Source organism: Homo sapiens, chromosome 12 (genome assembly GCF_000001405.40).
Source record: "Homo sapiens chromosome 12, GRCh38.p14 Primary Assembly".
Taxonomy (NCBI): domain Eukaryota; kingdom Metazoa; phylum Chordata; class Mammalia; order Primates; family Hominidae; genus Homo; species Homo sapiens.
Genome location: NC_000012.12, coordinates 15,870,677 through 15,882,304, shown reverse-complemented (window position 1 = coordinate 15,882,304; position 11,628 = coordinate 15,870,677). Strand labels below are relative to the sequence as shown.

At 42.4% G+C, this 11,628-nt stretch overlaps 1 long non-coding RNA gene across 5 annotated transcripts in view, besides 2 other annotated features; it reads left to right on the top strand.

Annotated features, from left to right (window-relative positions):
* Positions 7 to 11,628, top strand: part of LOC102724146 (uncharacterized) — a 65,230-nt gene continuing 53,608 nt past the window's right edge. For 3 of the 5 annotated variants that reach the window (XR_007063230.1, XR_007063229.1, XR_007063227.1), the window contains exons 1-2: positions 7 to 525; positions 1,106 to 1,198. This is a non-coding gene — a long non-coding RNA (uncharacterized LOC102724146). The remainder of the gene's footprint in view (positions 526 to 1,105; positions 1,199 to 11,628) is intronic. The other 2 variants (XR_002957404.2, XR_007063228.1) reach the window with 1 other exon arrangement.
* Positions 271 to 500: an enhancer, noted in NCBI's record as "active region_6071". NCBI's record gives its function as "activates an Ori minimal core promoter by ATAC-STARR-seq in GM12878 lymphoblastoid cells {active_cell/tissue: GM12878}" and the evidence as "EXISTENCE:reporter gene assay evidence [ECO:0000049][PMID:35858748]".
* Positions 2,616 to 2,910: a silencer, noted in NCBI's record as "tiled region #5867; HepG2 Repressive non-DNase unmatched - State 24:Quies". NCBI's record gives its function as "represses a minimal TATA promoter and a strong SV40 promoter by Sharpr-MPRA in HepG2 cells {active_cell/tissue: HepG2}" and the evidence as "EXISTENCE:reporter gene assay evidence [ECO:0000049][PMID:27701403]".

Genomic DNA, 11,628 nt, shown 5'->3' with positions numbered 1-11,628 from the left:
AGAAGTATAGAAGGGCGCAGGCGCTAGTTCAGTGCTCGTGAGGTAACTGGCGCTGGCCCACGCCGACTAAGGGAGACGCTCTAGGCACCGGGATGGGGTCCCTGTCCCCGAGCTCTAGCGGGTCAGAACGCCTTCCTGGTCCGCGGCCGAGTTGAAAGTTGTTCCCACTCCCATAAGTCCAAGGACCAGCGTCAGCTGTGTACCTGCCGAGCAGCCCTACTGAGGACTGTGCTCGGCCTCTGAATATCTAGACGGACACGAGCCATACCCAGTGACGGCCCAAACCAGCGAACGCTGTCTGGCAACGTTTTTTGCAATTTGTCTTATTTAAAAACCATATACGGGCTTGGAGTGGTGGTGCCTGTGGTCCCACCTACTTGGAAGGCTGAGGTGGGAGGATAACTCGAGCCCGAGAGGTCGACACCGCAGTAAGCGGTGCTCGCGCCACCGCACTCCAGCCTGGGCAACAGAGCGAGACCATGTATTAAAAAAAAAAAAAAAATCCCCAGTCATTTCTTCCGCTGTGTAAGTTTTCCTATGTTGCTAATGTTTTAGGAGTGGATACTATATAGTTTTAAATGCGATTAAATTCAAGTTACTTTTTCCTTGGTGGACTTCGGAGAACTCTAGAGTCGTAGATCCCCAATTTTTTTGATGAAATACTCTCATCCGTAAAGTGAGCCTTCACTCATTTTATAAGCGAATGAATGCTGAATTCTATCAAAAACTTTTACACCTTTTGATATGATGTATATATGAGTGATGATTTGCAAATTACATAGATGTGCATTATAATACATGGACAAAAATAGAAATATTAAAATAATATTTAAATATAAACAAACTCTGATATTGTCTGCAGCAGGCAGCCCACTGTGGCTCTGTGAAACCACCAGAGCTGTTAATTGTTGATACTGTTTCCTAACCAGGAGAGGGCTTTTCTCTGGGCAAGTTGTATCTTTATTGATAGAATGTAAACCCAATACAACAGAGATTTTTGTGTTTTCTTTGCTACTTTATCCCCAAGGTCAAAACGTCTGGGCACATAGCAATAAATATGTAATCAACATAAATGTCTGTGAATGTTTTCTTCATCTTTTTGCAGCAAACACCGTCTACAAGATTCGAGTCAAACAACGTGAGAACTTGAAATACGTCTCCATTCTTTTTCCTTAGTACTCTCGTTCATTCACTTACGGTAAAGCACTTACTATATATGTTTTTCATTTTATCTTGTTCGACTCCTCCTTTGTGCCATCCTCTCCCTTTTGTCTCACACATACGCACCACTCACACATTTATGAACTCCTTAATGGCAATGGTTATGGCTTTGTCATTTGTACTCTAGTGCCAGAAAAGTGAATGGCATTTAGTGAATACTCAGCATGACTGTTTACTGATTAAATAGATTGTTGCATTACTGATGGAGGTAAATAAAAGACCCACTCAAAATGACACAACTGGTCAGATACTGATACATGTTCATTTATTGCTCATTGTGTGTAGATAAGAATATAATTGGTAAGTTATGGTACATACTTGGCTCTAAAGAATGTATTATTTCCTGCTCATTTGGATTCTGAGTTCTAAGAGTATTGTGTATTATGACCAATTGGGTAGGCTTCAAGGTCAATTTAATATTAGAAGACAGGTTAATGTAATTGATATAATTAACAATATTAAAAGATTAAAGAAAATCATATCAAAAGATGTGTAAGAAGTTTTTGATAGAATTCAGCATTCTTTCACTTATAAGAATTCTGAGACACTAGAAATAGAAGGGACTTTTTTAACCTCATAGAATATCTGAAACCCCACACCTAATGGTGAAATACAGAAAGCATTCTGTATTAGATTAGGTACGAGACAGATGATTGCTACTGCCTCTTCAATACAGCATCGTACTAGATGTTCAGGTAACTTAAAAATGCATAAATCTTCCAAAGAAAGTTGTAAATCTGTGATTAGAAATTGTTTTAGAGGTTATATACAAAGAAAAGAGGCAAGGTGTGGTGGCTCATGCCTGTAATTCCAGTTCCCAGTACTTTGGGTGGCTGAGATGGGAGGATCACTCCAGCCCAGGAGTTCAAGACCAGTCTGGGCAACAAAGTGAGACCCAGGCTCTACAAAAAAATAAAAAAATTAGCCAGGCATGGTGGTACACTACTGTGATCCCAGCTACACGGGACACTGAGGCAGGAGGATCGCTTGAGCCCAGAAGTTCATGGCTGCAATAAGCCCAATTTCTGCCACTGCACTGCAGCCTGGACAATGAGGTAAGACCATGTCTCAAAAGAAAAAAATAAAAATAAAAATTATTGGAATTAATGAGAGAATTTAGAAAGGTTACTGAAGTTGTTTTTTTCTTTTTTTAGAAGAGATGAAGTCTCACTATGTTACCCAGGCTGGGTGCGATGCCTAGGTTACTGGGTTTTGTTGTTGTTGTTGTTGTTGTTTTAAGTGTAATGAAGAAATCACATTTCTATACATTAGCAACAACAAAAAATGTAATTTTAAAATATGCCATGTTAAATAGCATCAAGAATTATAAAGTACATAGGAATAAAAAAACAAAGTGTACTCCCCAGCAGAAAAAAAACTGGCACGCTGAAATGTAGAAGTTGAGAGCAGTGTAATGAAGGGATTAGTTACAGAAGTGTGGCCAGGATCAAAAGTAAACAACAAGGAGAAAATAGGGCACTAACCATAGATCTGAATGAGAAACTGAAAGGGAGCAGTTATCTGAACCTGATTTATTTGAGAAAGGTACGGTTGCAGGAGAAGGCTCTGGGCGAGAGCTGGAATAATCAGTAGAAGAACACAACTGCTCCCAATTATCATCAGCACAGCCATGGGGAAGAAGTGGGGAAATGAATATCTACTTTTAGATCTCCCATGCTTCCCATTGGTCAAACCCAGCCAGAGCCCAGAAGACAAGGGAGCCCTTTAATGGGGTCCATAAATGTCAACCTTCTAGGACTTAAACCATAGTACAAAAAGGAGAAAAGGGGATCTCGTTAAATAAAGGAATACCCAACATGATGTTCAATATTATTTAATGCCTCTCAGCAAAATGTATCGTTCTCTATTAAAGGCATTAAATAATATTAAAATAAATGGAAAATGGATATATTGTGTTTGTGGGTTGGCAGGTTCAATTTTGGGAAAATATCAGTGCTCTCCTGTTATGGACTGAATTGGGTTCCCCTCCTCCAAATTCCTATGTTAAAGTCCTAATCCTCACTATCTCAGAATGTGACTGTATTTGGATAAGTAAGGTAAAATTAGGTCATATGGGTGGGCCTTAATCCAATGCAACAGTTATCTTTATTGAGAAGAGGAGATGAGGACACAGACAACACAAAGGAATGACCAGATGAGGACAGAGTGAGAAGGTGGCCATCTGCAAGTCATGGGGAAAGGCCTCAGAGAAGAAAGGAAATTTACAGACCTTAGTCTTGGACTTCTAGCCTCTAGAACTGTGAGAAAATAAATTTCCATTGTTTAAGCCACCAACATCTGTTATGGCAGACCTAGAAAACAAATACATCTCCAAAATGATTTACAGTTTCAATACAATTGCAAATAAAAGTTCCAGTTTTTGGGGGGGAGGGGCAATGACGTTTTTAAAATTATTATTTTTATTTTTCCATAAGTTATTGGGGTACAGTTAGTATTTGGTTACATGAGTAAGTTCTTTAGTGGTGATTTGTGAGACTTTGGTGCACATATCACCTAAGCAGTATACACTGCACCATATGTGTAGTCTTTTAATCCCTCGTCCCCCCTCCCACTCCTCCCTCCAAGTCCCCAAAGTCCATTGTATCATTCTTATGCCTTTGCGTCCTCATAGCTTAGCTCTCACTTATCAGTGAGAACATACGATGTTTCGTTTTCCATTCCTGAGTTACTTCACTTAGAATAATAGTCTCCGATCTCATCCAGGTCACTGCAAATGCTGTTAATTTATTTCTTTTATGGCTGTATAGTATTCCATTGTATATAAATATACCACAGTTTCTTCATCCACTCGTTGATCGATGGGCATTTCGGTTGGTTTCACTGTTTTGCAATTGTGCTGCTATGAACATGCATGTGCAAGTATCTTTTTCGATTAATAACTTCTTTACCCCTGGGTAGATACCCAGTAGTGGGATTACTGGATCCAATGGTAGTTCTACTTTTAGTTCTTTAAGGAATCTCCACACTGTTTTCCATAGTGGTTGTACTAGTTTACATTCCCACCAGTAGTGTAGAAGTACTCCCTGTTCACTGCATCCATGCCAACATATACTGTTTTTTGATATTTTGATTATGGCCATTCTTGCAGGAGTAAGGTGGTATCGAATTGTAGTTTTGATTTTCATTTCTGTGATCATTAGTGGTGTTGAGCATTTTTTCATATGTTGGCCATTTGTATATCTTCTTTTGAGAATTGTCTATTCATATCATTAGTCTGCATTTTGATGGGATTGTTTTTTTCTTACTGATTTGTTTGAATTCATTGTAGACTCTGAATATTAGTCCTTTGTCACATGTATAGATTGTGAAGATTTTCTTTCACTCTGTGGGTTGTCTGTTTACTCTGCTGACTGTTCTTTTGCCGTGCAAAAGCTCTTTAGTTTAATTAGGTCCCAGCTATTTATATTTGTTTTTATTGAATTTGCTTTTGGGTCCCTTTGTCCCTTGTATGCCAGTTTTGCTGAGAGTTTTAATCATAAAGGGATGCTAGATTTTATCAAATGCTATTTCTGCATCTATTGAGATGACCATGTGGTTTTTGTTTTTAATCCTGTTTATGTGGTGTATCACATATTTGTCTGAAAATGACTGTATCTTTCCTTCGTATATGATGCTTATTTTTGCTGGATACAAAATTCTTACCTGATAATTGTTTTGTTTGAGGAGGCTGATGATAGGGCCTCACCCTTCTAGCTTGCAGGGTTTCTGCTGAGAAATCTGCTGTTAATATGAAAGGGTTTCATTTATAGGTTGCCTGGTGCTTCTGTCTCACAGCTCTTAAAATTCTTTCCTTTGTCTTAACTTTGCATAACCTGATGACAGTGTGCCTAGGCAAAGATCTATTTTGTGATGAATTTCCCAGGAGTTTGTTACGCTTCTTGTATTTGAATGTCTAGGTCTCTAGTAAGGCTGGGGAAGACTTCCTTGATTATTCCCCTACATATGTTTTCCAAGATTTTAGAATTCTCTTCTTCTTCAGGAACACCAATTCTTCTTAGGTTTGGTCGTTTCCTGTAACCCCAGACTTCTTGGAGGCTTTGTTCATATTTTCTTATTCTTTTTTCTTTGTCTTTGTTGGTTTGGGTTAATTCAAAAACCTTGTCTTCAAGCTCTGAATTTCTGTTTTCTACGTATTCAATTCTATCGCTGAGACTTTCCAGAGAATTTCGCATTTCTAAAAGTGTGTCCAAAGTTTCCTGAATTTTTGATTGCTTTTTTTTAAGCTGTTTCCTTGAATATTTCTCCCTTTACTTCTTGTATTATTTTTTTTTTTATTTCCTTGCATTGGGCTTCGGCTTTCTCTGGTCCCTCCCTGATTAGCTTAATAACTAATCTCCTGAATTCTTTTTCAGGTAAATCAGGGATTTCTTATTGGTTTAGATCCACTGCTGGTGAACTAGTATGATTTTTGGGGGGTGTTGCAGAGCCTTGTTTTGTCATATTACCAGGGTTGGTTTTTTGGTTCCTTCTCATTTGGGTAGGCTCTGTCATAGGGAAGGTCTAGGGCTGAAGGCTGTTGTTCAGATCCTTTTGTCCCATGGGGTATTGCCTTGATTTAGTACCCTCCCCCTTTTCCTATGGATGTGGCTTCCTGTGAGCCAAACTGCAGTGATTGTTGCCTCTCTTTTGGGTCTAGCCACCCAGCAAGTCTACCCAGCTATGGGCTGGTACTGGGGGATTTCCGCGCAGAGTCCTGTGATGTGAACCATCTATGCATCTCTCAGCTGTGGCTACCAGCACCTGTTCTGGTGGAGGTGGTGGAGGGTGCAATGGACTCCCTGAGGGTCCTTGGCTTTGGTGGTTTAATGCTCTGTTTTTGTGCTGATTGGCCTCCTGTCAGGAGGTGGTGCTTTCCAGAAAGCATCAGCTATACTAGTGTGGAGGGGGACCCGGAGTGGGCAGGGCCCTAGAACTCCCAAGATTATATGCCCTTTGTCTTCCACTACCTGGGTGGATAGGGAAGGACCATCACATGGGGGTGGGGCTAGGTGTGTCTGAACTCAGACTCTCCTTGGGCAGGCCTAGCTATAGCTGCTGTGGGGGATGGGGGTGAGATTCCCAGGTCACTGGAGTTGTATACCTAGGAGGGTTATGGCTGCCTCTGCCAAGTAATGCAGGTTGTCAGGGAAGTGGGGGAAAGCTAGCAGTCACAGGCCTCACCCAGCTCCCATGCAAAGTGAAAGGCAGGTCTCACTTCCACCATGTCCCCGCAACAGCCCTGAGTTTGTTTCCAGGTGGAGGGTAAGAGGGGCTTGAAAACTTGCCTGATGCTGTGTCCGGAATTGGTGGGTTCCTGGTCTCACTGACTTCAAGAATGAAGCTGCGGACCCTCGCGGTGACTGTTACAGTTCTTAAAGGCGGCGTGTCTGGAGTTTGTTCCTTCTGATGTTCGGATGTGTTCGGAGTTCCTTCCTTCTGGTGGGTTCGTGGTCTCGCTGGCTCAGGAGTGAAGCTGCGGACCTTCGCGGTGAGTGTTACAGCTCTTAAGGTGGCGTGTCTGGAGTTGTTTGTTCCTCCCGGTGGGTTCGTGGTCTCGCTGGCTTCAGGAGTGAAGCTGCAGACCTTCGTGGTGAGTGTTACAGCTCATAAAGGCAATGTGGACCCAAAGAGTGAGCAGCAGCAAGATTTATTGCAAAGAACAAAAGAACAAAGCCTCCACAGTGTGGAAGGGGACCGGAGCGGGTTGCCACTGCTGGCTCAGGCAGCCTGCTTTTATTCCCTTATCTGGCCCCACCCACATCCTGCTGATTGGTCCATTTTATAGAGATCCAATTGGTCTGTTTTGACAGGGTGCCGATTGGTGCGTTTATAATCCCTGAGCTAGACACAAAAGTTCTCCACGTCCCCACTAGATTAGCTAGATACAGAGTGCTGATTGGTGTATTTACAAACCCTGAGCTAGACACAGAGTGCTGACTGGTGCATTTACAAACCTTGAGCTAGACACAGAGTGCCGATTGGTGCATTCACAATCCCTTAGCTAGACATGAAGATTCTCCAAGTTGCCACTAGACTCAGGAGCTCAGCTGGCTTCACCCAGTGGATCTCGCACCGGGCGCAGGTGGAGCTGCCTGCCAGTCCTGTGCCATGCACCCACACTCAGCCCTTGGCAGTTGGTGGGACCGGGTGCCATGGAGCAGGGGGTGGCACTCCTCAGGGAGGTTCAGGCTGCACAGGAGCCCACAGCGGGGTGGGTGGGGGAGACTCAGGCATGGCGGGCTGCAGGTCCTGAGCCCTGCCCTGTGGGGAGGCAGCTAAGGCCCAGTGAGAAATCGAGCACAGCGTTGCTGGCCCAGGTGCTAAGCCCCTCACTGCCCAGGGCTTGTGGGCTGGCCAGCCACTCCAAGTGTGGGCCAGCGGAGCCCACGCCCACCCAGAACTCGCGCTGGCCCGCAAGTGCCGCACACAGCCCCGGTTCCCGACTGCACCTCTCCCTCCACACCTCGCCGCAAGCTGAGGGAGCCGGCTCCTGCCTTGGCCAGCCCAGAAAGGGGCTCCCACAGTGCAGCGGTGGGCTGAAGGGCTCCTCAAGCGTGGCCAGAATGGGCACCGAGGCCGAGGAGGCACCGAGAGCGAGTGAGGGCTGCAAGGGCTGCCAGCACGCTGTCACCTCTCAATGCTATCTGCTTCCCAGCTGCAAAATAAAAGGGATTTAGTCCTTCCCCAACCTGTGAAGTCTGCACGCAAGATTTGCACCCTCCCCCGAGTTCTGGCCAGGAGGCTTCTCACCCTGTTCAAATTGTTACAAAGTTCAGCTAGAGAATTCCTTCTCTCTGTGGAGTTTTACTTGCTGCTCCTCTGGCCACTCTTCCAGTGGATCCCTGTGGTGCCAGGCAGGAACGGGCTGCTAGGGGACCCAGCGAGCCCCCAGGGCCGTACTGCTGCTTCCTCTACCCCTGTATTTCACTCGGCTCTCTAACTTGACTCAGCTCTAGGTAAAGTCAGAAACTTCTCCCGCAAATGGACCTTCAGCTTCTCCAGTGGGGATGTGTGTTCGGGAGAGGAGGAATCTCTCTTTCCCACTTCCACAGTTGGGGCACTCACATTATTTGAGGGTCTCCCAGGTCCTGCAGGAGCAGTTGGCTTCCTTCAGAGGGTCTGTGGGTCCTCTTGGGATTGCTGGTTTGTTGTTGCAATCAATCTGGAGCTAAAATTCACAATGCAAGCCTCCAAATGCTGCTCTATATGGAGCTGCAATCTAGTCCTGCCTCCTGTTGGGCCATGATCCCAGGAGCGCCCCTGACTTTTTGGATCTAATCCTCCATTGTTTTTAAATAAAACTTTTCATGCTGTTGTTAATAGTTACATAGAAAATAAAAAGGCCAAGAATAGCTAAGACACTCCAGAAAAAGAAAACCCAGGGGAAATAACTTCTCCAACTAGATATCAAGCATAATTTGAAGTTATAAGATATTTTGGCAATGACATAGGGATAAACAAGTAGAAAAAGGGTAGAGAATAAGTAGTCCATGTATATAGAAATCCGGCCACACGCGGTTGCTCACCTTATAATCCCAGAACTTTGGGAGGCCAAGGCAGGTGGATCACTTGAGGTCAGGAGTTTGAGACCAGCCTGGCCAACATGGTGAAACCCCGTGTCTACTAAAAATATAAAAGTTAGCTGGGTGTGGTGGCTCGTGCCTTTAATCCCAGCTACTCGGGAGGCTGAGGCAGGAGAATCACTTGAACCCGGGAGGCAGAGGTTGCAGTGAGCCGAGATCGTGTCACTACACTCCAGCTTGGGCAAGAGAGCGAGACTCCATCTCAAAAAAAAAAAAAAAAATCCAATTAATGATAAAGCAGTACTGTGATAAGTGGGTAAAAAATAACTTCATTGAATCTGGTCAAAAAAGATTATTCATTTGAAAATGAGTGAAATTTGAGGCCTATCTTAAATCATACACATTAGACAAAATATAAAATATTTCATAATTTGACAATCAAATGTATAAAATATGTAGAAGATGAGAATGTTTATGACCTTCAAGTAAAGAAATAGTTTATAAAATAAAGCTCAAAGTGTGCAAACCATAAAAGAATTGATACATGCCTATAGCAAAGTTAAGAAATTATATTGCAATATAACATAAAGAGTTGAAATAGCATGTCAGAGCAGAAAAAAATATTTGCAACACATATAGTTGACAACACACTAGTACAAGAGTATATAAAGAACTCTAAGCATTAAGAAGACAGGCAACCGAGTAGAAAAATAGGGGGAAATGCTTAAACTCAGCAGTAATCAGAACAATACAAATTAAAATTCCCATGAAATACCATTTCATGTTGGCCATTGGTAGAAATTCATTTCCTGGTGTTGGCAAGGATATAAAGCAAGGGTGTGATAAGACTGTAAATTATAACTTTTTTTTTTATTTGAGATAGGGTCTCACTCTGTCATTCAGGCTGGAGTACAGTGGCATAATAACAGCTCACTGCACCCTTGATATCCCCAGGCTCAGGTGATCCTCCCACCTGCACCTCCTGAGTAGCTGGGACCACAGGTGCATTCTGCCACACCCACCTACTTTTTGTATTTTTTGAAGAGATGAGATTTTGCCATGTTTCCCAGCCTTATTTTAGAAAATAATTTGGCAATACTAATGATACTGAAATTGTACATATCCCATAACACATCAATTTCACATCTGCATATATAACCTACAGAAACATTTCCACAAGATATACAGAGCCATGTAAAAGAATGTTCATGGCCAGGATTGTTTGGAATAGCCAAAAATTAGAACAGAAATATCCATCCATAATAGAGTAGAATATAAACTATGGTATATCCGTACCACGAAATGTTACACGGAAGTGAAAATGAACAACATGGTTGAATCCCAGAACCATGATATTGTCAATACATACAGATAATTTCATTTCCATAAGGTTAAACTTTGCAAAACAAACCATATATTGTTGAGGGATACAAACATGGCAAAAACTATAAAGAAAAGCACATACTAATGAATAGGATTGAAGATCGATGGACAGGAAGTGGGATAGGTATATGGAACTTCAAATTTTATAATACTTTTTTTCTAAAAATGAATAGTGGGTACTCAGGTGTTTGTTACAATATCTTTATTATATCTTCCATATACATTTTTATAAATATCCTATGATATTTACTTAATATTTACTGTATGCAGAATTCTAAGATAGCCCTCAAGATTCCAACTCTCTGGTGTACTTGCCCTGTACAACCTATTCCCTTTGAGTATGGGCTGAAGTTCTGTATGATGTGGGCAGTAGTTGCTGCTTTGATTAGGTTACATTATATAGCGAAGGTGATGGGAAAGTCACTCTTGTGAGCTTTATATAAGACTCCGTTTCAGCTGACCAAAAATAGAAATTCTTATGTTGGCCATGAAGAAGCAAACTGCCAACAGAATGACCCCAACAGAATGAAGCTAGAAATCAATGGCAGAAGGAAGACAAAACAAATCACAAATTTCTGGAAATTAAACAACATACTTTTTTTTTTTCAAGATAGAGTCTTGCTCTGTTGCCCAGGCTAGAGTGCAGTGGCATGATCTCGGCTCACTGCAACTTCCGCCCCCTGGGTTCAAGAAATTCTCCTGCCTCAGCCTCCCAAGTAGCTGGGATTACAGGTGCCCACCACCATGCCCAGCTAATCTTTGTACTTTTAGTAGAGACAGCGTTTCACTATGTTGGCCAGGCTGGTCTCGAACTCCTGACCTCATGATCCGCCCGACTCACCCTCCCAAAGTGTTGGGATTACAGGCGTGAGCCACTGCGCCTGGCTACAGCACACTTTTAAACAACCAATAGATCAAAGAAGAAATCACAATGGAAATTAGAAAATACTTAGAGACAAATGAAAACAAGAACAGAACATACCAAAACTTATGGGACACAGTGAAAACAGTGCTAAAGGAAAAATTAATAGCTATAAATTCTTGTGTTAAAAAGAATGATCTCAAGTAAACAACCTATCTTTTACAACTCAAGGAACTAGAAAAAAAGAACAAATAAACCTAAACCTAGCAGAGGGAGGAAATAATATAAAGATTAGAGTAGAGATAAATGAAATAAAGAATAGAAAAATAATAGAGAAAAACAATGAACACAAAGTTGGTTTTTTGAAAAGATTAACAAAACTGAAAAACCTTCCGCTAGATGGACTAAGAAATAAAATAGAGAAGACTAAAATTACTAAAATTAGAAATGAGAGTGTGGACAGATCTGGCCAGGCGCGGTGGCTCATGCCTGTAATCCCAGCACTTTGGGAGGCCAAGGCAGGCGGATCACGAGGTCAGGAGATTGAGACCATCCTGGCTAACACGGTGAAACCCTGTCTCTACTAAAAATACAAAAAAAATTAGCCGGGCATGGTGGCAGGTGCCTGTAGTCCCAAGT